This window comes from Homo sapiens, chromosome 5 (assembly GCF_000001405.40).
Source record: "Homo sapiens chromosome 5, GRCh38.p14 Primary Assembly".
Classification (NCBI taxonomy): domain Eukaryota; kingdom Metazoa; phylum Chordata; class Mammalia; order Primates; family Hominidae; genus Homo; species Homo sapiens.
Window position 1 is genome coordinate 41,964,080 of NC_000005.10, and position 27,226 is coordinate 41,991,305.

General features: G+C 35.2%; 1 protein-coding gene and 1 pseudogene across 1 annotated transcript in view, besides 1 other annotated feature; one reads left to right on the forward strand and one right to left on the reverse strand.

Moving 5' to 3' along the window:
- FBXO4 (F-box protein 4) overlaps positions 1-27,226 on the forward strand; it is a 115,124-nt gene that overhangs the window by 38,799 nt on the left and 49,099 nt on the right. The window lies entirely within an intron of this gene.
- On the reverse strand, positions 2,861-4,000 carry MTHFD2P6 (methylenetetrahydrofolate dehydrogenase (NADP+ dependent) 2, methenyltetrahydrofolate cyclohydrolase pseudogene 6; annotated as a pseudogene).
- Positions 9,994-10,194: a silencer, noted in NCBI's record as "peak5238 fragment used in MPRA reporter construct". NCBI's record gives its function as "represses an SCP1 promoter by STARR-seq MPRAs in K562 erythroleukemia cells {active_cell/tissue: K562}" and the evidence as "EXISTENCE:reporter gene assay evidence [ECO:0000049][PMID:32103011]".

Sequence of the window (27,226 nt, forward strand, 5' to 3'; positions counted from 1 at the left end):
GATGTTGACTGTTTAATTATGAGTAGTAAACAAAAGCAAATATCTAGAAAGATGTAATTTTCAAATATATTTTCATTGCTCATGTATCCAGCCTTGAACATTTGTTGTTAAAATTACTTTAAAATATTTCAGATTTTAGTCTTTCTTGTACTCTGAATAATCCAATGCCAATTGATAATATATGGTTTGCCATTTTATTGCTTTCTTTGTAAATGCAAAAAGAGATTGATTTTTTTTTACTTTACTTGAAAGTATATCATAGGCATCTTCACCTTATTAACAACTTAGAGTGATTTCTCTTTTTTTCATACCACAGCAGACAGATGTGTTTTAATAAAAAAAAACCTTTAATCAGAAAGTCTGATTAAAATCAATATTAACTCAAACTCTTAAAAATATTTTGGAAAAGACAACAGGATACATCACAGAAAAGCAGGCAGCTGCTGAAAATTCTTTGGTGGAAAAGTAACTTGCATACTTATCCAAGCCACAAAATGATTTTCAAGCCAAGTGTTTTTTTTTTTTTTTCAAAAATAGATTTTAAGATACATCAAAGATGATGAGCATTTTTTCATGGGTCTTTTGGCTGCATAAATGTCTTCTTTTGAGAAGTGTCTGTTCATATCCTTCGCCCACTTGTTGATGGGGTTGTTTGTTTTTTTCTTGTAAATTTGTTGGAGTTCATTGTAGGTTCTGGATATTAGCCCTTTGTCAGATGAGTAGATTGCAAAAATTTTCTCCCATTCTGTAGGTTGCCTGTGCACTCTGATGGTAGTTTCTTTTGCTGTGCAGAAGCTCTTTAGTTTAACTAGATCCCATTTGTCAATTTTGGCTTTTGTTGCCATTGCTTTTGGTGTTTTAGACATGAAGTCCTTGCCCATGCCTATGTCCTGAATGGTATTGCCTAGGTTTTCTTCTAGGGTTTTTATGGTTTTAGGTCTAACATTTAAGTTTTTTATCCATCTTGAATTAATTTTTGTATAAGGTGTAAGGAAGGGATCCAGTTTCAGCTTTCTACATATGGCTAGCCAGTTTTCCCAGCACCATTTATGAAATAGGGAATCCTTTCCCCATTTCTTGTTTTTCTCAGGTTTGTCAAAGATCAGATGGTTGTAGACATGCAGCATTATTTCTGAGGGCTCTGTTCTGTTCCATTGATCTATATCTCTGTTTTGGTACCAGTACCATGCTGTTTTTGTTACTGTAGCCTTGCAGTATAGTTTGAAGTCAGGTAGCATGATGCCTCCAGCTTTGTTCTTTTGGCTTAGGATTGACTTGGCAATATGGGCTCTTTTTTGGTTCCATATGAACTTTAAAGTATTTTTTTCCAATTCTGTGAAGAAAGTCATTGGTAGCTTGATGGGGATGGCATTGAATCTATAAATTACCTCGGGCAGTATGGCCACTTTAACTATATTGATTCTTCCTACCCATGAGCATGGAATGTTCTTCCATTTGTTTGTATCCTCTTTTATTTCATGAAAAAATGCTCATCATCACTGGACATCAGAGAAATGCAAATCAAAACCACAATGAGATACCATCTCACACCAGTTAGAATGGCGATCATTAAAAAGTCAGTAAACAACAGATACTGGAGAGGATGTGGAGAAATAGGAGCAATTTTACACTGTTGGTGGGACTGTAAACTAGTTCAACCATTGTGGAAGTCAGTGTGGCGATTCCTCAGGGATCTAGAATTAGAAATACCATTACTGGGTATACACCCAAAGGATTATAAATCGTGCTGCTATAAAGACACATGAACACGTATGTTTATTGTGGCACTATTCACAATAGCAAAGACTTGGAACCAACCCAAATGTCCAACCATGATAGTCTGGATTAAGAAAATGTGGGACATACACCATGGAATACTATGCAGCCATTAAAAATGATGAGTTCGTGTCCTTTGTAGGGACATGGATGAAGCTGGAAACCATCACTCTCAGCAAACTATCACAAGGACAAAAAACCAAACACTGCATATTCTCGCTCATAGGTGGGAATTGAACAATGAGAACACATGGACACAGGAAGGGGAACATCACACACCAGGGCCTGTTGTGGGGTGGGGGCAAGGGGGAGGATAGCATTTGGAGATATACCTAATGTTAAATGATGAGTTACTGGGTGCAGCACACCAACATGGCACATATATACATATGTAACTAACCTGCACGTTGTGCACACGTACCCTAAAACTTAAAGTATAATAAAAAATAAAAATAATCCTACTTATAATTAAAAAAAAGATACACCAAAGAAACTATACAGATATTCCCTAACAACACAAAACTTTAACAATGAAGTTAAACTGTATAGCAAAAGCCAAGTATGACAATACACATGAATAATTTATAAAATAAACCTTTAAATCCTAGAAAACTAAAGTGGGGAGATCTTACTAAGGGGTAACATACATAAAATGAGGACTAAAAGCAAGGAACAATCCTTAACACTTTCCCAATGACTGACTAAACCTCAAAAAGACAACTTAGGAAAATGATTAACATGTAGTTTTTATTTTTTTCCTAGCCGGTTCAGTTCTACTTAGACAGACCTGGTTACCAATCGATACGTATATAGATTATTTTTTTCTTTCTACTCAGTTACTACCATTTTTTTCTTTTTCCTCTTTTCCCTAATTTTTCCTCTGGTTTGATGAGTTGAACTCAAAAGGTTTGGTACCTAAAATGATTATCGATGCTTATAGGAATAGCACTAGAGAAGTGCAATCCTAGAAAAGGCAAATTTTTAACAGAGGTGGCTTGACAAAGTTAAGCATTCATTCTCAATATGACAATGTCTCCCATGTTAGTCACAAGGTTAATGGCTGCTCTTGGGTAGATCCCTTGACCCTGCATGATACTGTAATGCTTCCTAGTGAGGTACTGCAGAGCTATGTCACACACACCCATGAAAGCTTTCAATAAATGCAAAGCATCATTTTAAACCATTTCAGTGGAAAAAATAAAAAAAAATCACGTTTCTCTCGGCTTGCTTTGTTTCTTGAGCTGGCTTGAAGTGCTTTTGGTGATATAGAAGACACAAGAGTTAGTTAGTGGCTACTCCAAGCTCTTTAGACTTCAGCACTTTCCGTTCTTCAAGCCTCAGCACTTTTTTTTTGTGGCAATTATGGTATTCTTCATTAGCATTGCCACTGTCATAGGGCCAACACCTCCAGAAACTGGAGTGATATAACTGGCTTTTTGCCTAACTCCTTTAAAATCCACATTTCCAACCAACTTAGGTTTAGCAGTTACAGGATCTTGAACTGTATCTATTCCCACATCAATGCTATTGCTTCTCCCTTGGTCATATTTGCTGTGATCAGATTTGGAACACCTGCAACAGATATTACAATATCTGCAAGAATTGTATGTTTCCTCAACTGCTCTTTGGGGGTATATCAATGAGATATTATAACAGTGGCATCACCTCCGTGACGTTCATGCACCCCATCTGTGTGCAGTGACATTGCAATAGGCATTACAACATTTTTTGACCTTCCAGCCACAACCACATTCTTCCCTAGGGTTGGAATGCCAGTTTGCTTAATTATTTCCCACACACTGCATGGAGTAGCTGGTATACGGAATACTGGTCCAGATACATTCACCCTACATTAATTACATGAAAGCCATCAACATCCTTATCTGGAAAAACAGAATTGCAGATCTTTCTCTCATCAATGTGCTCTGGAAGAGGCAGGTGGAGAAGGAGGCCATCTACATTACCATCATTATTCAATTTATTGATTAAATTCAACAATTCTTCCTCTGAAATTGAAGCTGGTTTCACAATTATCTCACTGTTGATTCCCACATCTGCAGCTGCCCTGGTTTTGTTGAGGATATGGCAGAGACTTGCAGGAGTTTTGCTGACCAGAGCCACGCTCAGGCATGGCCCTTTGTTGCCAGAGGCCACCTGCTCCTCCACCTCCTGCCGCACTTCCTGCTTGATCCACTGGGCCAGTTTCCTGACAACAGCTTCATTTAGTTGGCAATGGGTTCTTCCCAAGAACCCCACTGCTTCATCCAAAGCTGACAGACCAAGAGTGAGTATCTGACTGCAAAGGCAACAATTTTTAGGTTGGCCAGCTGTTCAGTTGGTGCAAAAGCTTAGCTCATAAGAGCAGTGAGAGTTATCGGAACCAGTAAGAGCTCGTCCGAGGGAGTTCAAAGGAACTGCCGCGAGGTGGAAAGGGCGAGGACAGAGGCGGCAGCTCTGAGCGGGCTGGATCAGCCGGCGACCAACGCTGACATGAGGGAAGTCGCAGCCATAGCCCGCGCCGGTGCCCGCGCTCGGCTGACAGTGATTTTAAATAAAGTTTTGTTGAAGGAAGATAGGTACGTTTCATTTATGGAAATGAAGGTGGAATTTTTTACAAAAATTAAGTTCCGCAGAAAAGTAGTATTAATGGGATTAGCTGTGACACAGTCTCCCAGCAGGGGGCAACACGTTGGGAATCAGAAGTAGCTGGGCAAATGCTTTTCAACTTTTTTGCCTTTGTGTCCCAGCCTGGTTAAAGTTCTGAAAAACATTCATTTTAAACTAAATTTCAACTAGTTATGAAATGATTAAACACCTTTTTTTAAATATTCTGACTTGGTACCTAAGTATTCGATTTTTTTTTCTGTTACATACCGAAATTTAAGAATACGTAATAATAATAAATTACTGCAAAGTTATTACCCTCTATGTAAATTTTTTTAATTGTTGAAAATGATTTCTTTTGAATTTCATTGACATCCTCATGTTTTGAAAATTGCAGGATTTGTTGCACAAACCCTCAGTTCATGGTATTCTTACATCTTATGATTTTATGAATGCCCATTCTGTTCCCATGGAAATTTTCAGTTTTTATCTTCTAGATATTTTTAAAGCGTGTTATTTATATTGAAGGTTTTCTTATCTATAAAGTTCCAATCCAACAAATGTATTGTTTTTCTAAGTGCAAGCTCTTTTGCAAATGGTTTTGTCCCTGTCTTATTTTGGGTAACCTTCTTTTTATACTCTACAGTTGTCACACATTTGTTGACATACGGTCAGATAGAGCAGCCAAGGGTTGGTGCCCCTTAGCAGCATCCTGTAATCCTATCTCCTTTATTAATACCTAAGCTTACCTTTTCCACTCACTTTTTCCTTTTCTTACTCTGAAACATATACATTTCCAGAAGAGTTCATGAAAATATATTGTAGTTTAATGAGTGCTTATAAAACAAACACTTGTGTAACCTAAGTCAAAAAGTAAAACTGGCAGCATTCCAAAACACATATCCAGTCTATTCATGCCGTTCTCCCCAATTACAGTTCTATCCCTCCACCCTGGAGGTATCCCTATGTCTTAATCAATTTTGTGCTGATAGAACATCTCAGACTAGATAATTTAAAATGAACAGGAATGTATTGGTTCATGTTTCTGGAGGTAATCCATACTATAATATTTGGCTATATCATTTTCTTTTTAATATACTCTCCCATTATATGAATATTTCATAATTCATGCATGCTACTATAAGTGAACATTGAGGATGTTGACAGTTTTTGATTACTGTAAACAATGCTGCTACAAATGCATGTGTGTGGATGTATTTAGGATAAATGGTGAGTTGCACACCTTAACATTTTCCTGGTGAAGCACCTCTTGGATTTTAAAATCCAAACTTCAGAATGTAGGTGTCTTTGCAATATATTACTTGCTGATGTCTTACACACACACAAAAATGTGCAGTCATGCCCCCAAAGCTCAATACTACATTTTAAACAAAACAATGTGTGTGTGTTGTGAAAAAAAGGTGGGGATAAGAGTGAAATCTTGAGTTCTATTTTAAATAGAATTAAGTGTAAATGCTGTGAAAGGTATAGCTGAGAATCAATAAAGGCCATAGTACTGTGGTTACTGTATACAAAGCAACCATTTAATGAACATTTAAATCTTTTTACATCCAAACATGATTGGTTGTTATATATAGGCATTTTACTGTGAATTAGTTCTGTTTTAGAAAATTGGTTGAAGTTTTGAGTTGATATATAAAACATTATCATTTTTCTCATTTAAAATATTGAGAATTTGGTTCTCAATTAGCACTTATAGATGCCTAATTTACAGCAGTAGATATCTGATTTTAAGTGGAGTATCCTGAAATTGAAAAATGCTAAACCTAAAATGGAAATGCTGGGTCATAGATTGTATATATCTTTACCTTGGCTAGATAATGGCAGATTGTTTTCCAAAGAGGTGGTACAAATATTCCCATCAGGGGTGTATGAGAATTCCATTTATTATATCTTCACCTGTTAACCAATTTTCCTAATATTTGAGAAAAAGTTCTGTATAACAGAAGAAAACCAGTTATAAAATATGCAAGAAATTATAGAAAATGTAATTTTACAGGCCCAAATGATATTATTAGATTAAGAGGAAATATTAATTGGTGTCAAAACCATTAAGTAAATGATTGATGATAAACTGGTCATTGGTTAATTGTTAAAAAAAAAAACCCTAATAGATTAGTTTTTAACCACAAGGAAAAAAGCTTATCTGTATAGTGGATGGGAAAAACAAAATAACTTAGTGTAAGAATTTATCAGTCATAGTGCCACCAATGATGGTTAACCAGATATTATGTGACATTGGGTATGATGCTACATGAAGTATACACCATCACTTTAATTGTTATTGGCAAAAATAATTTAAATTTATTAAGCTTCTAACATAATATACAATACAGAATATAGACTATAGACAGGAAATATAGGATATGGGCTAACAAGTTCAATAATAGTATGGCAAAGCAACCAGACAAATTCAGGAATATTCTACAGAATGTAATTGGCTTGGGATTTTTAAAAAGTTAGTATTATGAAAAAGAGATTGTAATCAATTATAAGAAATTTAACAAATATAAAACCAAATGCAAGATTGGATCCTACATTTGATATTTGAATGGACAAATAAACTGTATGTAATATTTTTTGGGTCAACTGGGGGAATTTTGAACATAGTCTCAGCAGTAGATGAGATAAAATGTACTGAAAGAGAAAGTTACTAAAAAAACAAAACCAGATTGAGGAATGGTATGTACAATAAAATTTTATATTGATGTAAAACTAGAGAGAGGTGTGTGTGTGTGTGTGTGTGTGTGTGTATGTGTGTGTGTGTGTATAAAGACCTGGAAAGGTAAACATTAAGGTGATGAGCATTGGTGGACACTGATGGTAATTAAATTGATTTAATTAAATTCAAAAATTTCCTATAGTGCATATGTGCTGCTTCTGTAACTATACTTTTTAAAAGTACAAACAAGATAATAAAAAGTTAACCAATTTAACAGATTACTTTTTGTCAACTGATTACTTTTTAATGGAGTGTATTTCCTGCTAAGAATTAAGATATGAAAGAAAAATATTTTTGGCCTAATAATAATTCTATGCATGACTAGCATTTCATATGCTAGATAATCTTCCTGGAAATAATGATTGCCTTGATTGTTATTATAAAGACCACTCCATAGGGTCATAAATCATCTAGTGTCCTCATCTTCTTTCCTGATTATGTGCATTTTAGTATGAATCTTAAAATAGGTAAAATGTTTCTTTCTCTATTCTAGCATTTTATAGTTTTGGTTCTATCATTTTCTTCTCTGTTACATTATGTTTAGTTTATTAAAGGAAGAAATAGATTGATTAAAATAAATTACAAAGAATTTATGTGCAGATGGCTGTCAATAATTGTGATTAGGTTCTTTACACTCTTACTTATTTCATTTTATAAATATGTATTTTCAAAAACATGCACATCTTCTTTCTACTCTCTTTTCAAAGCCTAGATCATAATTTCTCAGTTCTATACCCCAAAGTGATAAGAGCCATTTATGACAAACCCACAGCTAACATCATACTAAACAGGCAAAATCTGGAAGCATTCCCCTTGAGAACATATACAAGACAAGGATGCCCACTCTCATCACCTCTATTCAACATAGTATGAAAGTCCTAGCCAGAGCAATCAGTCAAGAGAAAGAAATGAAAGGCATCCAAATAGGAAGAGAGGAGGTAAAATTATTTCCCTTTACAGAAGATATATAATTCTATACCTAAAAAACCCCATCCCATAGTCTCTGCCCAAAGGCTCTTAGAACTGACAAATAACATCAGTAATGTTTCAGGGTATAAAAATCAATGTATAAAAATTAGTAGCGTTGCTATACACCAGTAGTGTCCAAACTGAGAGCCAAATCAAGAACATAATGCTATTCACAGTAGCCACAAAATAGATAAAGTACCTAGGAATATAGCTAACAAGGGAGGTGAAAGATTTCCACAATGCAAATTAAGAAACACTGCTGAAAGAAACAAGAGATAATACAAACAAATGGAAAATCAATATTGTTAAAATGACCATACTGTCCAAAGCAATGTACAAGTTCAATGTTATTCTTATCAAACCACCAATGACATTTTTCACAGAATTAAAGAAAAACCTATTCTAAAATTCATATGGAACCAAAAAAATAAGCCTGAATAGCCAAAGCAATCCTAAGCAGAAAGAACAAAGCCAGAGGCATCACATTACCCAACTTCAAACTATACTACAAGACTACAGTAACCAAAACAGTATGGTACTGGTAAGAAAATAGACACATAAAACCAATGGAACGAGCTAGAAAACCCAGAAATAAAGCCACACACATACAACCATCTGATCCTCAACAAAACTGACAACAAGCAATGGGAAAAGGACTCCTTATTCAATAAATAGTGCTGGATAACTGGCTAGCCATAAATAGAAGATGAAACTGGACCCCTTTCTTTCACCATATACAAAAATCAACTCAAAATGCATTAAAGACTTAAATGTAAGACCCAAAACTATAAAAACCCCAAGAAGAAAACCTAGGAAATCTCATTCTGGTCATATGCCTTGGCAAAGATTTCATGATGAAGACTCCAAAAGCAGTATCAACAAAACCAAAAGTTGACAAGTGGGACTTAATTAAACTAAAGAGTTACTGCACAGCAAAAGAAACTATCAGCAAAGTAAACAGACAACCTACAAAGTGGGAAAAAATATTTTTGAAGTATACATCTGACAAAGATCTAATATCTCATATTTATTAGGAACTTAAACAATAAGCAAAAACCAAACCAAACTCATTGAAAAATGGGCAAAGGACATGAACAGACACTTCTCAAAAGACAACATACAAGCACCCAACGCGCATATTTAAAATGTTCCTCCTTACTAATCATTACAGAAATGCAAATCAAAACCACAATGAGATATTATCTCACAACAATCAGAATGGCTATTATTAAAATAGGCTCATGCCTATAATCCCAATACTTTGGAATGGTGAGGCGAGAGGATTGCTTGAGCCCAGGGGTTTGAGACCAGTCTGGGCAACATGGTGAGATCCTGTTTCTACAAAAAATAATAAAAAAAACTAGCCAGATTTCATGGTGCATGTCTGAGGTCCCAGCTACTCAGGAGGCTGAGTGGGGAAGATTGCTTGAACCCATGAGGTTGAGGCTGCAGTGAGTTGTGTTCATGCCGCTGCACTCCAGCCTGGGTGAGACAGCATCTGCAGTTTGGCAATTTCTCAAGGAACTTAAAACAGGACTATCATTTGATCCAGCAATCCCATTACTTTTTACACATTCAATCTTTTGTTGCTATTGTCATTCTTTTTACTTTTACATAAGCTATTAATACATAATGGGTTGATAATGGGTTAAAGCTAATATTTTTGCTTTAAATAGCTGATTATCTTTTAGACCCATTAAACTTCTGCCTGAAAAATTTTCTTTAACATTTATATAGTATATAAACCTGCTGGCAATGAATTCTCCTAGTTTTTGTTTATTTTAGAAAGTCTTTATTTTTCTATTTGAAAGATATTATTACTAGGGATAGAATTCTGGGTTGAGAATTTTTGTTTTTCAGCACTGTAAAGCTAGACTAGTGTCTTCTGGCTTGCATCATCTCTCTAATTGTTATCTTTCTTTCTCCGTATGTATGTATCCTCCTTTTTCTTTTGTTGTCTCAACACTTCTTCTTTGTCTTTTGCTTTCAGCAGTTTTAAGATGGTATCCTTGGTCTGGGGTGTGTACGTTTGTGTAATTATCTTTCCTGGTGTTCTCTGAGCTTCTTGAAACTGTGGTTTGGTGTCTGTCATCAATTTTGGAGAATTCTTGGCCTTTTTCCTTCAAGTATTTCTGTTGCCTTTTTCTCTATTTCTGTTTCTAGAATTTCAATTACATGTATGTTAGATGGTTTGATATTGTTCCACAGCTCTTGGATGCTCTCTTCTTGTTTTTTGTTTGTTTATTTGTTTGGGTTTTTTTGGATGTTTTTTTCCCAGGTATGTTTTTCTCTTTGTGTTTCAGTCTGAGTAATATCTGTCAATCTATTTTTAAGTTTACTAATTCTTTTGCTAGATTCTTGTAAGTCTACTAATGACTCAGTTGAAGGCATGCTTTGTCACTGTTATTGTGCTATTTGTTTCTAACATTTCCATTTGATCCATTCTTTTTTTTTCCATCCTTCTGCTGAAATTACCTGCCTGATCCTGCATGTTGTTCACCTTCTCTCTTAGAACTTTAAAACATATTAATCAAATTTATTTTAAATTTCCTGTCATTTAGTTTCAACATCTGCATCATATCTGAATCTGGTTCTGGTGATTGCTTTTTTGCTTGGTAGTGTGTGTATGCATGTGTGTTTTATTTTCCTTACTTTTTGTATTCCTCATCATTTTTTGTTAAATACTAGTCATGTTACGTAGGAAATAATGGTTTTTATTTCTGGAAGTGGGTGTATCCTTTTTTTCTGTTAGGCCTTTAGTGTCAGGGATTGAGTTAATCTATTTAGGAGGCAGGCTGAGTTTGAAGTGTGTTTCTGCTATGGTCCCAGTGCCATTCTGCAGTAGCTGCAGTTCCTACCTTCAGGCCAGTGCCATAAGAGTTGATTCTTAGGACTCTTGCCAGGCTTTTTCATGAGTGCTAGTGGGGTCTATGGAGAAAAGGTGAGAACTTTACTTTCATCTGCAATCCCTAGGACTCTATGGTCTCTCACTAGCCCACACTTAGCTTCTATTAATTTATTAACAATTCTAGCTGAATTATTCTTACTGACATCTGGCTTTGTCTGCCCCAGGGAAGCAAGTGCTTACATCTCATCTCTTCCTGCTGGAATTGTCTTTCTATAGAGTTAAGACTAATTAATTGATGTATGAGCTCAGCTCTCTGATTTAAGAATTTGCCCAGCATATGTTGTTAGAATGAGATCTCTCTAATCTACAGTAGAAGCCAGAATTTATTAGACTCCATTGTTGCTTTGTTCTACTGAAGCAAGAGATCTAAAGTAAGTTTGCTCAATAGAAAGAATATTGTGTGTATTAATGAGAGACTGGTTAACTATATTAGAGTATATATGGTATATAGTTCTATTACTAATCTTATCTTACAGAGGAGAAAATAAGGCTCTGAAGGGCTAAAAATTGTACAGAACAATTCAATAGTAAGTAATAAGCTGGTACCTCACTATACTAAACTACTTTTATTATTATTAGCTTTTAAAAACTTGTGGCAAAATATTCATAACATAAAATTTAACATCTTAACCATTGTTAAGTATATAGTTTAGTAGTGTTACCTACATTCACATTTTATAAACTTTTTTGATCTGGACACTACAATTAAACTTAGTGTGTTAGGCTGTTTTTGCATTGTTATAAAAGAATACCTGAATCTGGGTAATTTATAAAGAAAGGAGATTTAAATGGCTCATGGTTCTGTAGGCTGTATGAGAAGCATGGTGCCAGCATCTGCTTGGCTTCTAGTGAGGCCTCAAGAAGCTTACAATCGTGGTGGAAGGAGACAAAGACACAGCATGTCACATGGTGAGAGTGGGAGCAAGAAAGAGAGAGGGGAGAGGTTCCATGCTCTTTGAAATAACCAGATCTCACATGAACTACCAGAATGAGAACTCACTCATCACCAGGGGACAGTGCTAAGCCATTCATGAAGGATTTGTTTCTATGATCCAAACATCTCCCACCAGGCCCCACGTCCAACTTTGGGGATTACTTTTCAACTTGAGATTTGGAGGGGAAAAATGTCCAAACTATATCATTCATCCCCTGACCCACCAAATCTCATGACCTGCTCACATTTCAAAATAGAATCATGCCTTTGCAATAGTTTCCCAAAGTCTTAACTTGTTCCAGACTTAACTTAAAAGTTCCAAAGTTCAAATCCAAAGTTTCATCTGAGACTCAAGGCCAAGTTCCTTCCACTGATGAACCTATAAAATCAAATACAAATCAAAGAAATCACTTTCTTCCAAGATAAGATGGTATTATAGGCATTGGGTAAACATTTCCATTCCAAAAGGGAGAAATTGGCCAAAAAGAAAGGGGTAATAGGCCCCATGCAAGTCTGGAACCCAGCAGGGCAGGCGTTAAATCTTAAAGCTCCAAAATAATCTCCTTTGATCCCATGTCCTGCATCCAGAGCACACTGGTGCAAGGTGTGGGTTCCCAAGGCCTTGGGCAGCTCTGCTTCTGTGGCTTTGCAGGGTGAAGCCCCTGTGGATGCTGTCATGAATTGGAGGTGTGTACCTGCAGGTTTTCCAGGCTCAGGATGCAAGCTGCCCATGACTAACATTCTGGAGTCTAAAGGGCAGTGGCCTCCTTTCCACAGCTCCAGTAGGCCATGTCTGTGTGGGGGCTCCAGCTCCACATTTCCTCTTCACACGGCCCTAGTAGAAATTCTCAGTGAGGGATACAGCCCTGTTAACAGGATTCGCATCCTGTGAAATCTAGGAGAAAGCTGTCAAGCCTCCTTCATGCCTGCATTCTGTGTGCCTGCCACTTAACACTATATGGAAGCTAGTAAATCTTGTGGCTTGTGACCTTCAAAGCTGTGGCTCAAGCTGTACCTGGGTCCTGTTGAGCTAGAGCTGCTGGGATGTGGGGAGCAGTGTTCTGAGACTGAGAAGGGCAATGGGGCCCTGGATCTGGCCCCCCAAACCATTCTTTCCTCCTAGGCCTATAAACCTGTGATGTGAGGGGCTGCCTTGAAGACTTCTGCAATGCCTTTGAAGTCTTTTTCCCATTGGTCTTAGATATGAGCACTTGGCTCCCTTTTAGTCATACTAATATCTCTAGCAAGTGGTTCCTCCACAGCCTGCTTGTATTCCTCTCCTGAAAATGCTTTTTTTTCTCTGCCACATGGCTAGCTTGCAAATTTTCCAGAGTTTTACACTCTGCTTCCCTTTTAAATATAAGGTTCAACTTTAAGTCATTTATTTGTTCCCATATCTGATTGCAGGCTGTTAGAAGCAGCCAGACTAACTCTTGAACATTTTGCTGCTTAAAAATTTCTTCTGCCAGTTACTCTGTCATCACTGTTAAGTTCAAACTGCCACAGATCCCTAGACTCTGGACACAAGGCAACCAAGATCTTTGCTAATGCATAACAAGTGTGACCTTTGCTCAAGTTCCTAATAAATTTCTCTTTTCCATCTGAGACCTCCTTAGCCTGGCCTTCACTGTCCATATTTCTCAAAAAACTCCTGACCTCAGGTGATCTGCCTACCTCAGCCTCCCAAAGTGCTGGGATTACAGGCATGAACCACCATGCCTGGTCGCTGTCCATATTTCTATCAGAATTTTGGTTACAATGATTTAATCATTCTCTAAAATATTCCAAACTTTTCCTCATCTTCTTTTCTTCTTCAATGCCCTCCAAACTCTTCCAACCTCTGCCCATTGCTCAGCTCCAAAGCTGCTTCCACATTTTCTGGTATCTTTATAGCAATGCCCCACTTCTGGCACTAAGTTTCTGTATTAGTCCATTCTTGTGTCTCTATAAGGGAATAGTTACAACTGGGTCATTTATAAAGAAAACAGGCTTAATTAGCACACAGTTCTGCAGTCTGAATGAGAAACATGGTGCCAACATCTGCTTGGCTTCTGGTGAGGGCCTCAGGAAGCTTACTATCATGGCCTAAGTTGATGGGAAGCCAGCATGTCACATGGTGAGAGTGGAAGCAAGATACAGATGGGGAGATGCCATGCTCTTTTAAACAACCACACCTCTTTTGAACTATAAGAGCAAGAGCTCACTCATCACCACTTTGTAAAAGGGATGGCGTAAAACCATTTATGAGGGATCTACCCCTGTGAAAAAAACATCTTGCACCAGGTCACACCTCCAACGTTGGAGATTATATTTCAACATGAGGTTTGGAGGGAACAAACATTCAAACTCTATTACTTAGAAAATTATAAAAGTACTAAAAACACAATAACAAACACATTGTTTAAAAAAGTGTGAAATGAAGAAAATATAGAAAGAAGAAAACAGAAAAGAATTTATAATCTCTAAACCCAGATAGAACCACTTTAAACATTTTGGTAAGTGGTTTTTTTAGGGTTCTTTCTAAATATTTAAGTTTGTATGTATTTCTTAAGTAGTATTCTGAAAATAACTTTTGAATGACACTTTGTTTAACCTACTAAACTTCAACTGATATTGTTTTAGATGGTGTTGGCTTTATTTAGTGGCCAAGTTTTTCTCATATATAATCTGTAGACACCTAACTTTCCCAAATTTTTTCTTTCAAAATGAAATAAACATATATTTTTATTCATTAAAAAAACTTAAGCTCAAGTCTTTTACATTTATTTTTATTTGATTTAAATTTGTGGACTTTGACCAAGATTCCAAACTCCTGAGTTTACTTTTAATCTTCATTCCATCATACATCATGCTTCTATTCTTGGAACTTGGTGTTGAGGGCAAAGCCCTCTTGACACATTCCATGAGAGCCTTAATTCTATTGGGATAAAGGTATTGATCCTCTTAAGCAGGCATCAGCAATTTTTGTTTTTTTTTGTAAAACGCTAGATGGTAAATTTTTTCAGCCTTGTAGACTGTGTAGTCTTTTTACAGGCAATGCATAAATGAGCATTAATGTTTTGCAATAAAGCTTTATTTCAAAAGGTTTAAGCAGTGCCTGGATTTTGCCTCTATGTCTTAGTTTGTGGCCCACTACTCTCAAGGTAAGATTGGTTAATTGGTGTGAATCTGCATAATACTGTTGCCATCCAGACAACCATAGGTCATAGAACTCTCTCAAGTTGTTGGATTAAAGTCTTCAGTCAGGATTGTGTTCTTCAGTACTCCAGAGGTCTTATTGCTTCTCATTATTAAAAGGTGACAAGCTATCCACATTTCTTATGTCTCTGGCTTTATCACTTATTTCTACCCAGTGTTAATTATGTTGCTTGAAGTAGTACAGCTATAGTGCACAATCATACCTACCACTGATTATGTTATTAAAATTCTCAAAACTATACCCCCTCATTAACTGTGTGTTAGCAAATGTTTAACAATCACCTCTCAGGAAAAGACAAACAAACCTTACTTTGTAGTGTTTGATGATATCTGTGGTTTAACCACTCCCAACATGGCCAGTTTCAAACTACCAACATGACATCACTCAATGTGGAGGTAGGAAGAGATGAACACAATGGCTTTCCTGAGCCAGTGCAAGTTGGTGCCAGCATACCACTGTTAAGCTCAGCAAGTCCCCTGGCATGGCTAGGATGTGTCCTTGGTTTTTGGTTACTATTTATATTTCTAGAAACTACAACCTTAAATTCTGAGGCTTTCTATTATCCAAGAAGTCTGCAATAACAACATGCTTCATCCTTCTGCTAAAGTGTATCCTCTCTTATTGCTAAAGACTTCAGGTACATTTAAAATGATCCTATGCCCTTCACAGACTTTCTTTCTGCTTTCAAAAATACCACCAGAGGCTTAATTATAACAATTTGTGATAAGCCTACATGAATCAATCTAAAGACAAAACAAAACAAAGAGATGCATCAATCTATTTTGCAGTTAAAACTTGTTTGTAATAGCCAGGAGGAGGTCAGTCTGTCCTAACCTGGGGGCTTAGTGCAAACTTAATATAGGGATAGTCTTAAGAGTCTTAAGAGTTATTTTAATTCCAGTCTTTTTAGGGAACGAAGAGACTGAGCCACTCATGGTAATGTTAAAGTAAAAAGCTTTGGCGGGTATGTGTTAAATAAAAAAATTACAGAATCTATTCATCAAGACTTTTGACTGAGAACTAAAATACTAAGAGACAAGGAAGGTTCATAGAAAGTCTCCAGTATATATTCAGGATAACATTTGGAATAATGAATTTTAGTGAGCATACGTATAGGTTAATACTTTCTTGTGTTATCATTTCTCCATATTCCAGGATGAAATGAATAAAAAAGGATAGAAAGAATCTTGAAGTTAATTAATTTCTCATTCCTTACTCCGTTTTCTTTAATCTCCATATAGCACACTATCACCAATTTATCAACATTCTTCTAAAGGAGGAAATTGGAACATAAAACACATCCTTATGATAAATAAAAGCATACAGGCAGGAGTTGTAAATTATTTAAACTTTCTTAGGGATTGTGATTCCAAAACATTCCTAAGTGAACTGTTATTGCTATTAATCACCTTTATAGCCAATAAATTACGTTTTATGGGTTTTTTTTTGCCAAATGTATGCATCCCTTTCTTTGTGAATTAAAGAGCATTTACTTAGATTTATCCAATAGCATCTTAAATATATGAGAACCACTTTAGGTTACACTTTAGCTACCTGTGTATTTTTTTTTTGTTTCTTTTAACCCAAGTATTTTTTTTCTGAGATAAAAAGAATATATGCTCATTATTAAACAATTGGAAAATATAGACAAGATTTAAAAATAAAACTGAACAATCAACTGTAACCCTAACATTTGTAGAGAACTACTGCTAACATTCATAGTATGTCATTTAGACCTTTTCTATACACATAAATATTATTAAAAATTGGAAATACACTCTCTATACAGTTTCAAATACTAACATCCTCACTAGATATATATAAGAGCCTTTCCCTGTACTGTAAAATATTTCAATTCTGTAATTTTTATCTGCTGAGTCATAGTCTATCATATGGATACTTCATAACTTAATACTATATCATTACAATTCCTCAATCCTGTATATATAATTTAAAATCCAAATAGCTATGAAAAGTATCTTTGTAACTCATTTGGTGGCACCTGAGCTGGTATGATTTAATTTGGTGGCAAGATTCAACTGAACTGATTTGAGGCTATTAGTTAATTTATCCCAGTTAGAGTGAGATATTTCACAACCAAAATATTAACAAGATTGATTATGAAGTATTGCCTGAAAACTTCAGGGGTTCAGTATATGCATTCTAAAATTTTTTTTTAAATGGTAAATTAAAAAAAAAAACCTTCCAACAGTCCAAAATAGAAGATTATGGATTTTTTGGGTTTGGATTTTTTTCTTTTTATTGCTAATATTTCAAGGAACATTTATATGGAGAAATCTTTTGCATACTTTGTATTATTTCTATAACGTATACTCTACTGAATAAAAAGAAAATATGTGAACATTGTTAAGGCTATAGTTTTTCAATTATTTGCCAGAAATCTTTTCTACCAGCAGTGTATGAAACTGCTCAGCCTATGACATCCTCTCTTGGTTTAATAATTAAAAAATTTATTTGTTAGGTGTCCTCTAATTTCTTTTTTTTGGTTTTTGGTTTTTTTTTTTTGCTTTTTTAATATACATATTTTTATTGTACTTCAAGTTCTAGGGTACATGTGCACAACATGCAGGTTTGTTACTTATGTATACATGTGCCATGTTGGTGTGCTGCACCCATTAACTCCTCATTTAGCATTAGGTATATCTCCTAATGCTATCCCTCCCCCCTCCCCTCACCCCACAACAGTCCCTGGTGTGTGATGTTCCCCTTCCTGTGCCCAAGTGTTCTCATTGTTCAATTCCCACCTATGAGTGAGAACATGCGGTGTTTGGTTTTTTGTCCTTGCAATAATTTGCTGAGAATGATGGTTTCCAGCTTCATCCATGTCCCTACAAAGGACATGAGCTCATCATTTTTAATGGCTGCATAGTATTCCATGGTGTATATATGCCACATTTTCTTAATCCAGTCTATCATTGTTGGACATTTGGGTTGGTTCCAAGTCTTTGCTATTGGGAATAGTGCTGCAATAAACATACGTGTTCATGTGTCTTTATAGCAGCATGATTTATAATCCTTTGGGTATATACCCAGTAATGGGATGGCTGGGTCAAATGGTATTTCTAGTTCTAGATCCCTGAGGAATCGCCACACTGTCTTCCACAATGGTTGAACTAGTTTACAGTCCCACCAACAGTGTAAAAGTGTTCCTATTTCTCCACATCCTTTCCAGCTCCTGTTGTTTCCTGACTTTTTAATGATCGCCATTCTAATTTCATTGCTGTTTTAATTTGCATATATTTGATGAATAATGAGCTTAAAATTTATTTATATTTTTGTTATATATCTGTATCACTTCTGTTGGTAGTCAGTCCTTTGCTCACTTTTCTATTGGGTTGCTAACATTGAAAAAAAATTATTTATATAAATATTTATTTACAAAATCATATCTATCTGTATTGTTGATGCCAAATAGTCTAATTTGCCTACTAATTCTCTTTGTGATAATTGATATAGTCGAATTTATTGATTTTGCAATTATGTATTTTATTATTATTATTATACTTTAAATTCTGGAGTACCTGTGCAGTATGCACTGTTTTGTTACATAGGTATACACGTGCCATGGTGTTTTACTGCACCCATCAACCCGTTATCTACATTAGGTAATTCTCCTAATGCTATCCTTCCCCTAGTCCCCCACCCCCTCAACAAGCCCTGGTGTGTGATGTTCCCCTCTCTGTGTCCATCTGTTCTCATTGTTCAACTCCCATTTATAAGTGAGAACATGTGGTGTTTGGTTTTCTGTTCTTGTGTTAGTTTGCTGAGAATGATGGTTTCCAGCTTCATCCATTTCCCTGCAAAGGACGTGAACTCATCCTTTTTTATGGCTGCATAGTACTCCATGGTGTATATGTGCCTAATTTTCTTTCTCCAGTCTATCATTGATGGGCATTTGGGTTGGTTACAAGTCTTTGCTATTGTGAATAGTACCACAATAAACATACGTGTGCATGTGTCTTTATAGTAAAATGATTTATAATCCTGTATTTTATTTTTAAAGGAGTGATACCTATATTGTATAACATACTCTGTATTGTCTATATGATACAAATTAAGTGAGTGTATAATTAATATCCTTTATATGCTAATTTTTGCCTACCAAATTTGCTAAAATATGAAGGAGGGGTTATTATGCACTTCTAATACTGTCAACTTTATTTCTGTCAACTTTAGCATTTTCTGTCAACTTTATCATTTCTGTCAACTTTAGCATTTTCTAATTTTCATATTTGCTATTGTGAGAGCATTATTCAGTAAAGAAGTTTTGTGAGAGTCATCATTTTATTATGAATTGAAATGTTTTTCAACATAAAATGATTTTCCTTATATAACTTAATTATTTAACTGAATTTTTTCTTGGTCTTTTCCTAAATGTCTTGGCCCATCACTTTTCTTTTAACTTATCTGTGCTATTTTGTTTAATTTTTTTAGGCAAACTGATTTTGTGTTGAATTTAAGCCATTGCAATTGCTATGTCTGTTCATTATATTTCTCTTTGATTCTTTTGTTAATAATTATTTGATACTTCTCCTTTTCAGTTTTTAAAAATATGTCATATGTTTCTCCAGTATTTGTGATAGTAAATGCCCTATTTTAAAATTTTACTAGTGTTATATTTAAATTATATATTTTTTAGTTTTTAATTGTCAGACTCAATACTTAAATATTATCATTTGAGTCCCCATGGTGTAAATCTCATTATTTGGCCACACTTTATTTCCCTTCTGTTTATCATACCTCTGCCTATCATCATTGCTAATATAATTTCATATGTTCTTCTCATAATACAGCCTATCAGGACAGAGATAGTGAATAAAACTATCTAGTATATAAAAAATAGTAAATCAAATAGTAAATAAATATAGTAACCCCCATTAGATAATATGAGGTTACTATTCATTTTAATTAGCAAATTTTATCCATGGCATTTTTAATAGTTTCTAACAATCAGCTTCCTGTCAATTTTAGTTTTTAGTGTTGCTATTATTTCATATTTTGTGTTTTTATAAGTATTTTACTTGGAAAATGAAAAAAGAGAACTTAGTCAATCTGATAATGTTAGCTAGATGCAAAGTAAAATCTTTCAAATTTACTTTATGCAGACTAAATAATTCACCTCCACTTCTTTAAATTAACTCTCTAGAGCTCAAAAAGTGATGTTAAATGTGGCAAGAGTTAGAGGGGTAGCTCAGCTAGGGTTGTAGTTATTTGTGGTAGTTGGTCATGTGTTATATTACAGGGACATAAGGGCTCACTCTCTGACGTCTCACTTATACTCTTGGGCTTTGGATCATCTTTCTTTCTGAGGAGGTGTCAGGAAATTTTCCTTTATGTCAGAAACAATTAGCTCCATACTTTTCTTCCCTTGTTTTCTCTGCTCTACAGAGCAACAGATCTCATTCCTCATTTGGCCAGGAGTGTATGAAGATAAGCCCCGCAAATTTTTGTATTTTTGGCAGAGATGGGGTTTTACCATCTTGGCCAGGCTGGTCTCGAAATCCTGACCTCGAGTGATTCGCCCACCTCGGCCTCCCAAAGTGCTGGGGTTACAGGTGTGAGCCACCCTGCCCAGCCTAGCTTTCCTTCTATGCATGAAAACTCCAGGGTTGATGTGTTTCTGTCTCTGTTGACACCCTGAGCTGTATGGAGGGACTTTTTATTCTCAAGTGTATTAGGTATTTTTCCTTCTTGCTGTCAGTACACAACTTCAGTCTGATTCTCTCCAAGTTGGGTTCTCTTCAATAGAGAACTTCTATCTACCCTACTTCTCAATTTCTCATATTGTGATAGATCCAACCTTCATTATTTCTTGCCTAGATTGGACAACAAAATCCTCTTTACAAATATCCCTGCATTCAGTCTCACACACTTTTTTCCAAGCTCTTCTCCAAACATCCAGCCTTGTGATTTTTCTATCGTCAAATCAGAGTATACCATTATCCTACTAAATATTCTAAATGCTTCCCATTGCCTTCAAGGGGATGGTTTAGCCAAATGCATAATTCCCTTCATATTCTCATACTAAACCATCTCTTTATTAACTTATTCAACAGAGCCTAGAACATTATATTTGCTAAATGAATATTTTCAGGCAATATGAGTAAATATTTGTGGATTTGCTGATGGTAAATATTCTGTTCAGGTGCAACATTGAAAGAAATAGGATTACAAGGCACAGGTAAACAAAGCTAGTAATAGAAAAGCAGCAATGTCAGAAAGTAGTTTCCAATTTACTTCCTGGAATCTTTATAATTACTAAGGGATGGTTCCTATTTAAAATAAAGTTTAAAGAATGAAAAGAAAATTTTCAGGTTTGGTGAGGTAGTAGAAAGGAAGAATATAGGCTTAGTGTTAGAGTCTGTGCAGGAGAGAGGTGAAGTGTGCTTTTAAGAAAGTCAGCCTGCGTTATAATTTTGACTTTTTCACTTACTAACTTGGGAGAATTACCTAACTTCCTTGAGATTTGGTTTTCTTGGCTAAATGGTTATTACTAGAATCTACCTTATAAGCTGAAAACTAACCCAGCTCATTTAAGAGCTTAACATCATAAGCTTTCAGTAAAATGTAACTATTAATGTTATTATTATTCTTAACCTCAAAAAACTGTTAGCTTTTTGCTAACTTTGTAAAAGACAGTTGAATGACATAAGCCATTAGCTGTTCCTTAGTCTACAGGAAAAGTCGAACTGTTAAAATAAAAATAGAGAAAATAAGCCATTTTATACTCATTGATTTCAAATTTTCTATTTAAAATTCCCGACTCTTGTCTTTTTTCCCTTAGAGTGAAAGGTTAGACATTTGACTCATAAAATACACTTCAAACTCAGAATTCACTTGTGGTAGTAATAATCATTGAAACTGTAACTTAAAAAATAAATTTAGAAAGTATTGCGTAAGGCTAGATAAGAGCAGTCCCCATGCTTGAGGTAGTTCAAAGATAATTTAAAGGCAGGTTCCACCTACATTGTGATATAAAAGCCCTCATTTCACTTAAAATTTTTTTCTGGTCCTACTCTCTATTTTCCTTCCCTCTAGGCTCCACTGTTTGGCCCCATTTACCAAAAAGATTTACCATCTTTTTGACTAAGAGAGAGAGAGGAAAAAAAACAAATCCAAGCCCCACAACAACTATTGACTGTAAAATTGCTTTCACTTGGAGGCACAGGTGGAGCAGGTGGAGAAAAGATATAAAAACAAAGAAGGATTGAGTTATTTTCAGAGAATTTATTGGTTTAAGGACACATCTAGCCTACTATTCACTTTCTTCCATTCTGAAACATAATTGAATTTCAATGAGGTTTAGGACAAAGAACAAAATGTGATGCTACCGTTTGTATTTATCTACTAAACACAGAGGGCACTTCAAAGGAGTGTTCCCTTTCTCCAGATCATTTGTTTGGGATGTTTATGTGAACTTTTGAACTTTGTTCTTTCACTCAAGTGCTAACCTGAGGCAAGATAGCACAAAGACCCCAAATTATGATATTATTACCTCTCAGAATGCATAACACCACAAAAACGCAAACATGTTCTAAATAGAAGGAGAAGGTTTGTGAATCCTCGAAAAACTTCTGTTATTCCTTTTCTCATGCAAAAAAATAAGATAGGTTTTAGGTGGATAAAACAACAGAATTCTAGAATTTATATAAATTGTTGTGATTTGTTTTTATTTTCATTGTTGTTGCCTTAATGTGGAAATGTTACAGTCATCCTGCTGTTTATAGAGAACAAAATGTCCTCTAGTTTAAATCCATTTAGCTTTAATGCCTGAGTTCAGATTCATGCAAGTAAATGCTACATTCTGACTAACTAGAAAATGATGAAACAAATAACACACAGGAGTTTGTTTATGAATATGCTATTATCTAAGAATAAACAGTGTTTTTACAGAAAAATCAGACCTTTAAGATTGCAATCTTAACAAGAGGCAATTAGACTTGGTTTTCTTAGAGATTATAACATTATGTTCATTTAGAAAGCTTTATCTTAAGTAAAATGGAAATAATAAATATTAATTTCATTGTAATATAATGCAACCATCTCTCTTCCGAACTTGACTTCTCAGTTTCTGGCCCTTCACAAATTTCTTTAACCACCAATGTTGAACTGACCTCCCCTAACCTGGGAAGTTAAATAATTTTTCAAAGGATATGATCAAATCTCTGTTCCTGCATGCCTACATATATCTATTTTCAGTTGGGGTGTTCTCAAATTTCTAAGTTCAGTTTAGGCACTGAAATACCTTAGAAATGAAAAACCATAGAGAAGGGTAATTGTAATAAGCTCCTTGTGAGGAATATTACTGTAGAGAAATGATCTTAACATTTTCCTGAAATTTACACAAGCCTGCGTGCCATCTCATTACAATGCCTTTTTGCAGCATGAATGTGTTGAAAACTAGGGTATATGCTAAGAATATTCAAGTTTCAAATTAACTAATGAAACATTTGCTTGTGTGCATTTTACCATCTTCCTGTAATTGAAAGTAATGGCAAAATTCACAATTACTTTTTTACCAACCTGATAATAAGCTCATCAAAGGCATTCTTCATTTCTATTACAGTATTTTTAATCTTCAGCATTTCATTTTGGTTCTTTCTTAGGATTTCCATCTCTCTCCATACATTACTTGTCTGTTCTTGTATGCTGTCCACTTTATCCACTAGAGCTTTACCATATTAATCATAGTGGTTTTAAATTCCTGGTTTGATAATGCCAATGGCCCTGCCATATCTGATTCTGGCTTTGATGCTTACTCTGGCTCTTCAACTTGTGTTTTTTGCTTCTAGTATGTCTTGTAATTTTTTCTTGACAGTCAGAAAAGATGTAATAGGTAAAATGAACTGTAACACACGGCTTTTAGTAATATGGTGGTAACATGTGGGGGGGAGAGAAAATGTTGTATAGACCTATGTTTAGGTCTTAGTCTTTAGTGAGCCAGTATCTCTGGATTGTGAACTTCACATGTCCTTCTCATTCCCCAACCACTTTGTGTGGCACAGGATAGCTAAAGTGGGCTGGAGTTGGGTATTTTCCTTTCCCTAGGTCAGTTAGATTGTGGGAAATAGCAGGTTAGGCTCTGGTTAAATAGTTTCTACTGAGGGCAGATCTTTTTAGGAAGAAGGGAATGCTCTTCATCTTTCTTGAAGGGTATACTTAAAAATGATTCATTTTTCCTTTCCCCTGCTCAAAGTATGAGGATGTTTTTCTGTGATATTCACTGTGAGAACATGGTAGAGCTCCAGGAGGTAGAACTCACAAAAGTGTTGGGGCCTTGATGACTGGGCCCCCTGGATGTTTTAAATTCTCATGCTTGTCTGCATTGAGACTCCAGCAATTATTCATCAACTACAGTTTAGGTTTTCCTACCCTGGCACTGGGTTTCATGGAGGTTGCGGCTCATGAGTTTCTGGTTTGATGAGCTCTGTGATTCTCTTTATTCACCTGTCAGTCTTTCCAGTTGGGGTGTAGCAGTTTGCTCTATGATCTCACTTCTCTTAGGATCTAATAAGAGTTGTTGATATTTTGGTTTATTCAGCTTTTACCTGTGTTCAGGACAGAGTGATGACTTTCAAGCTTCTTACACTGCTTCACCAAAACTCAGAAATAATTTTGATTTTAAAATATATTTATCCAAAAGAACAAAAAAGATATAGAAGATCTGAAAACAAAATTATCAAGCTGACTTAACAAAGCTGTGGAAAGCACTTAACCACAAATGACAGAATTCACTTTCCTTCTAAGGCGCATAAATGCTTAGCAAAATTTAGATTATAATGTAAGTCGAACAAATTTTAAATAATTGAAGTCATTTGGGGCACGGTTTCTGATCACAGTTGAATTAGTTCAATATTTAAGAAAAAAACGGCCACAATGATGTTAATATTGAACACAATACCAGTGAACCTGATATATCCCTTTTACCCTAAAGAATTTCCAGTTTGCCTTAGCAGGGTAGCTTGTAAATTAATTAGATATTATCATTGATATACTTAATAAGAAATGCTTATGAAAAAGTAGATTCAAATGTCAGCAGTCAAGGGGTGACTAATTTCTGTGTAAGTAAACATATATATATAATTAATGTAATTAAGTTTACAGTAGCATTTTAAAGCCAAAATAACTATTAATTCAGAACTTAGCATAGAACTTGGCAATCTAAATTATTTTATGATAAAAATAATAAATATATTCCGTTACGATCTTAGCAAGTTACTGTAGAGAAAGATGAGAAAAAGCATTCAGTTGCAAAGTTATTACTGTAATTTAGGTAATTTACTTTAAAGCTCCCTTTGTATACATTAAAATATATTTGCCTTGGAATATTATTGCAGATCCAATTAAACAGTTTGAAGATCAGAGTGTGCACCCAATTAAAAGATCAGCAGTAGTCAGGTGCTCTATATGCTTACTGTTATTTCTTTATTATATTTGTCGAATTGCTCAAGTCAAAGATGTCTACCCTGTAATGATTTGCTAATTCAAGAAGTATCATCCCAAAATAGCTCCCCATTGCTTCCCCTATCATCTGCTCCTTATTCATCCTAGTTCAAACATTCCACCTTAGATTCAGACCAAAGATTACTAATAAAATGCTTATAATTATGAAGCATATTATTGGCTACATGACTGCTGGGTCTATTTAGCAGTTTAAGATTTTGCATAAATTTCACCAAAACTAGGACTGGGGAAATACGGCAGGGACCGAATATATGCCTGGTGGATGCATATTGATTTTAGAGGGACCTAGTGGGTTCTGACAGTTATTTACGAAGTAGGATTTAGACCTGGGGTGCATCTTGAGTCCTTCCTTTAATTCGTACAATAATACCATCATCATAAAGCTACATTCATAATTTCAATATATTACTAAATAATTTACATCTCACACAGATAAGTTTCCGATTTCAATGAATCTCTTTTGATCTTTTGACTCATTCAATGATTGCATTTTTGAGATCCTATGTATCCCATGCACTAAAACTGAATGTTAAAATTTTGGAATACTGCCTGGTTTAGAATCCCAAGGAAATTTAGACACATGCAATTCATTAATTCACTCAAAAAATAGTTCAGTGTGGTGGGCAATCTATCAGACATTCAGCCTATATAGAATAAAGTATTCATAGTCATTGCTTTATGGAATTTACAGTCTATTGTGTATTCATGTGGATGGGGAGACACATTCATCAAAGTTCAAACAATGTAATAGAACAACAGTGATGACTGCTATGAAAATATATTGGTAGTGGGAATTTCAGAAAAGACTTCTCTGAGAAAATAATGTTTGAGCTAAGATCTAAAAAGTAGGAGTTAACCAGGGAACTTTCTCAATGTCTGACTAATGCTCCAGGAATAATACCAATTCCCTAAAACTCTTAAGATTACAAATTTTAGTTATTATCATTTTGGACAGCATTGTAGATAGTTTTCTATTTTTTATCTAAGTTGGGAAATAACATTAATAGCATTTTTATTAGACCATGGAAAGAGAAGCAGAGGGGAAAAGTAAAGCAAAAATAAAAAAATGTATTAATGGCCACTATTTATTTTCTTGGCTTTGGACTTACTAATTTTAATATTAGGCCAGGCAACTTCTTTGACCTTTTATGGAAGAAGTTCTTGCTCCTTACTACCAAAGAATATGCATTTTCTGCCCCCACCACTGAATAAAACTCCTTCCCTTTTGTAGTCTACATTTATATTGCCTTTTCTCATCTTCATTGTCATGAACTTTATTCTACCACATCTTAAGGACAAAAGCCAAAGTCTAGATGAATTAAATATGATGGGTTGCTTAGAATGTCAGGGTCTGCCTCATTACCATCCTGGGTGAGTCAACATTCACGTTAACGTCCCTTTCTACATCTCACTCTTATATCCATATCCCCAGCCTCTACTAACCTGCTGACCATTTTATCAACATAAGCCTCCCATGATGATACCCTGGGACTTAGCATCACTAAAACTCTTCTTCAGAATTTTAAACCATAACCTTTGTAATGTCAACCACAAACTATTTACTGTCCACCAACTTTCTTATTCCTACCAAAGTGGCAGTTTATTATC